The following is a 3756-nucleotide window of genomic DNA, read 5'->3' as shown; positions in this document are numbered from 1 at the left end:
AATTTGATAGCACTTTGTTAGTTTCCTGGGTAAGCTGTGCTATTTCTCTTTTGATTGGCTCTACTGGGAATAGTGTCCCTTGCACTTACGTGCCGCCCTTTGCCTCTGTTGATTAACTCCTAAGACATCTTTAACAAGCAAGACTCACTTCTGCAGTAAACTTTGTCTGGTACTTTGGTTACTGATACTTGACACAAAAGATGGCATGTGTATTTCTAGGGCCTAGCAAAGGGTCAGAAGTAGGGCGAGTATTTAACCACTGTTTATTTATTACATTTTGTAGTTAATGGTACATAGCTTTTCCCTGCCCCTTTTTTCTTGTTTTCAATCAAAACAGGAAAACTTTTATTACTTCAATCAGTTTTGGTTGACTGTAAGAGAATTTTACTTAAACTATTTATATATCACATGCAATTATTCATAGAGTCCACTTATCTATATTTAAAATATATTTAAAATCTAATTCAGATAGCTTTTCTATACTGATTGTATCTATGAAGGCTAGTGTCTCTAATTAAGACAGAAAAGTCTTATTTACAAGAGCAGAACTGTAAACAAGCACATGGATTATTATTAGGCTAATATTTGCCCACTATTTTTATACATGAGCATAGGGTGAATCTTTAACCAGAAAAGGCACATTTATATGCAACCATTTAGATAATCACCAGAAAACTTTACATTAAATAGTTGTTTTGAGTAGCACAAGGTGAAGTAACTAGCTTGAAAATGAGTCTAGAAATGAAGTAAATTAAGCACATTTTTGGGCATCCTGTAGAAATAGCTTGTAATGATTTTTTCCTTGCCTTTAATTTCATACTTTTTAAGCCCAGTAGGAAATCTCAGTTGAACTAAGTTCTTTTTTTCCTCTGGTAAAATTTATTATAATTGTTTTTATTGAAATTTGTTTTACCTCCTGAAGTTCTGAGATACTGGCCATGCATATCAATCAAAATTTTATTGCATTATCTTGTAACCTTTTAAAATAATTGATCAGACAATAAAAATAAAAATGGACATTAATTATGTTGAGGAAAGTTTTACTTCCTTTTCGACTTGATACATTTTTCTTCTTCATATGCTTTGAAATTGCTAAGAGCAATTTGATGATACCAGTAATAAATTTGGGGAACTAAGTTGAGTAGATATAAAATGACAAACTTAACTGCATTTATATTAAAGCACTTTTCTGCTCATCAGAACAAGATGAGAAATTTAATAAGTAAACCAGTAAGTTATACCCAGATGTATTGTGTTCTACAACTGAAATAGATATTTGATGATATTTTCACCAATGTTTTATTCCAATCTCTAAGAAAAATGCTTTAGAAAAATTACTTGACTACATTCAAAAGATGTTCATTAAAATATAATACATTTTGAAAGATATAAACCATGAATTATATGTTACCTTGTATTCTGTACCCTTTTTAATTTCTTTTACATATTTATTAATATACATTTTTCTTTTCTTAACTGTTTTTTATAACATTTCCATTTATAGTACAGAAGAGGGTGTAATCTGATTCATCCAGGAAAGTTTTAATTGTCTAGGTTTTCTCATTAATTCTTGGCTTCCTGAAAGTAAAATTAACCTTTATAATTAATTTTATACTTTATTTAAAAATTTTAAAAGAAGACAGCAATTTATTTATGCATTGGAGAATTTTATGCTAAAATCAGATGTCTGTGAGTTTGACATATTTGAATAACCAGTGGGACATTTTTTGTGCTTAAAATTTCCTGTTTATAATATTAAAATTTATTAAGTCAGGCACGGTGGCTCATGCCTGTAATCCCAGCACTTTGGGAGGTTGAGGTGGGTGGATCACCTGAGGTAACAGTTTGAGACCAGCCTGGCCAACATGGTGAAACCCTGTCTCTACTAAAAATACAAAAAAAAGATAGTCTGGCATGGTGCCAGGTGCCTGTAATCCCAGCTACTCGGGAGGTGGAGGCAGGAGAATTGCTTGAACCCGAGAGGGTGGAGGTTGCAGTGAGCCGGGATTGCACCACTGCACTCCAGCCTGGGTGACAAGAGTGAAACTCCATCTCAAAAAAAAATTATTAATATATCTTAGAGTTGCATCATTATGAGGTTATTTGGACAATTCTATCCTTCATCAACTTTCGAGTATGATTTCTGGTAATATTACAAAACACTGTCTGTAGGATCCCATTCTTCTTGACTGCTGGAAATCCAGTTTTCCACAACACCAGGTATTTCTGGGTACATGCTGAAGATGGCTACAAATGAAATCTAAGTACTGCTTACACCTTGACCATCCATCTCATTCTGGAGACTGATCTGTTTTTCTCTTGGGATTCTTTGGAAGTCTTTAGTTGGCTTTGTATGATTACCTCTGGGTGTTCCTAAATTGCCCTCAATGCATTTTTATTTTATATATTATTTTCAAGCTTGGATAGATATTTGGCTAATTCACCACAATATCAGCTGAGATCAAGTTGTACCATTTGATAAAGACTCATTGAGAATGGGAAGGAGGTAAAACCCACACATAGCTTATAACTAAATTTGACATCTTTAGGATCAAAAGGCTCAGGCATGACATTAAATATGTAGTTAATTATGCAGCAACCTCCATTCAGCTTTCAAGATTAAGGTTGTGGAGAACCTACTGTAAGCCAGGCAGTGTCATGGTTGCTGGAATTGTACTAGTAAGCAAACAGATAAAAATCCATTCTCTTACAAAGCTTACATTCTACTGGGGAAATAGAAAAAAATATAATAGAATTAATATACTTTTTAAAATTGTCAGGTAGAACATCATCAGTGCTATCAAAACTATATTGGGTTCAAGAAGCTTTAGAGTTTCTAGGCACAGTCTTATTTTAAATGGAATGCTCGGTGTTGGACTCATTGAGACATTACATTTGAGTAAAGACAGGAAGCATTGAGAGAATTCATTGTGTTGATAAATTTGGACAAGAACAGAGGAAAGAGGCAATGCAAAGAATTTGAGGTAAGATGTTGCCTGGTTTTTTCTTCTAAATTGTGCTAAAATATACATAGCATGAAATTGGTCCTTTTAACAATTTTTAAGTCTACAGTTCAGTAACATGAAGTACATTCATGTTGTGCAAACATCATCACCATCTATTTTCAGAACATTTTGTTTTTATTTTGTCAAACCATACTTATTAACAATAACTCACCTTTATCCCCTTCCTCCAGTGCTTGGCAGCCACAATTCTATTTTTCATCTCTATAAACTTGAGTATTAGGTACCTCCTATAAGTGGAATCATACAGTGTATGTCTTTTAATCACTGCCTTATTTCGTTATCATGATGTCTTCAAGATTTATCCATGTTGTAACATGTGCCAGAATGTACTTCCTTCTTAATGTGGAATAATGTTCCATTGTATGTATTTACTACATTTTGTTTATCCATTCATCTGTCAATGGACACTTAGGTTGCTTCCAACTTTCAGCTATTACTAGTAATGCTTCTGTGAAGCAGTCATACAAATACACGTGTGGGATGCTGTTTTCGATTATTTTTACATATACTCAGAAGGTGTCAAGCTGGATCATGTGGTAATTTTACTTTTAATTTTTTGATGAACCACAACAGTGTTTTTTATAGCAGCTACCTCATTTTACATTCTGACCAGCAGTACACAAAAGTTTAAATTTTGACACATCTACATTAACATTTTCTGTTTTTTTTTTATTTAATTCTTAAAGATGTTATTTTTAGAGCAATTTTAGGTTCAGAAGAAAAGAGGAAG

General features: G+C 33.0%; 1 annotated feature.

Annotated features, from left to right (window-relative positions):
* Positions 1-201: a silencer, noted in NCBI's record as "peak3845 fragment used in MPRA reporter construct". NCBI's record gives its function as "represses an SCP1 promoter by STARR-seq MPRAs in K562 erythroleukemia cells {active_cell/tissue: K562}" and the evidence as "EXISTENCE:reporter gene assay evidence [ECO:0000049][PMID:32103011]".

This window comes from Homo sapiens, chromosome 2 (assembly GCF_000001405.40).
Source record: "Homo sapiens chromosome 2, GRCh38.p14 Primary Assembly".
In the NCBI taxonomy this organism is placed as follows: domain Eukaryota; kingdom Metazoa; phylum Chordata; class Mammalia; order Primates; family Hominidae; genus Homo; species Homo sapiens.
The sequence above is the reverse complement of the archived record's forward strand: the minus strand, read 5'-3'. Positions and strand labels throughout refer to the sequence as shown.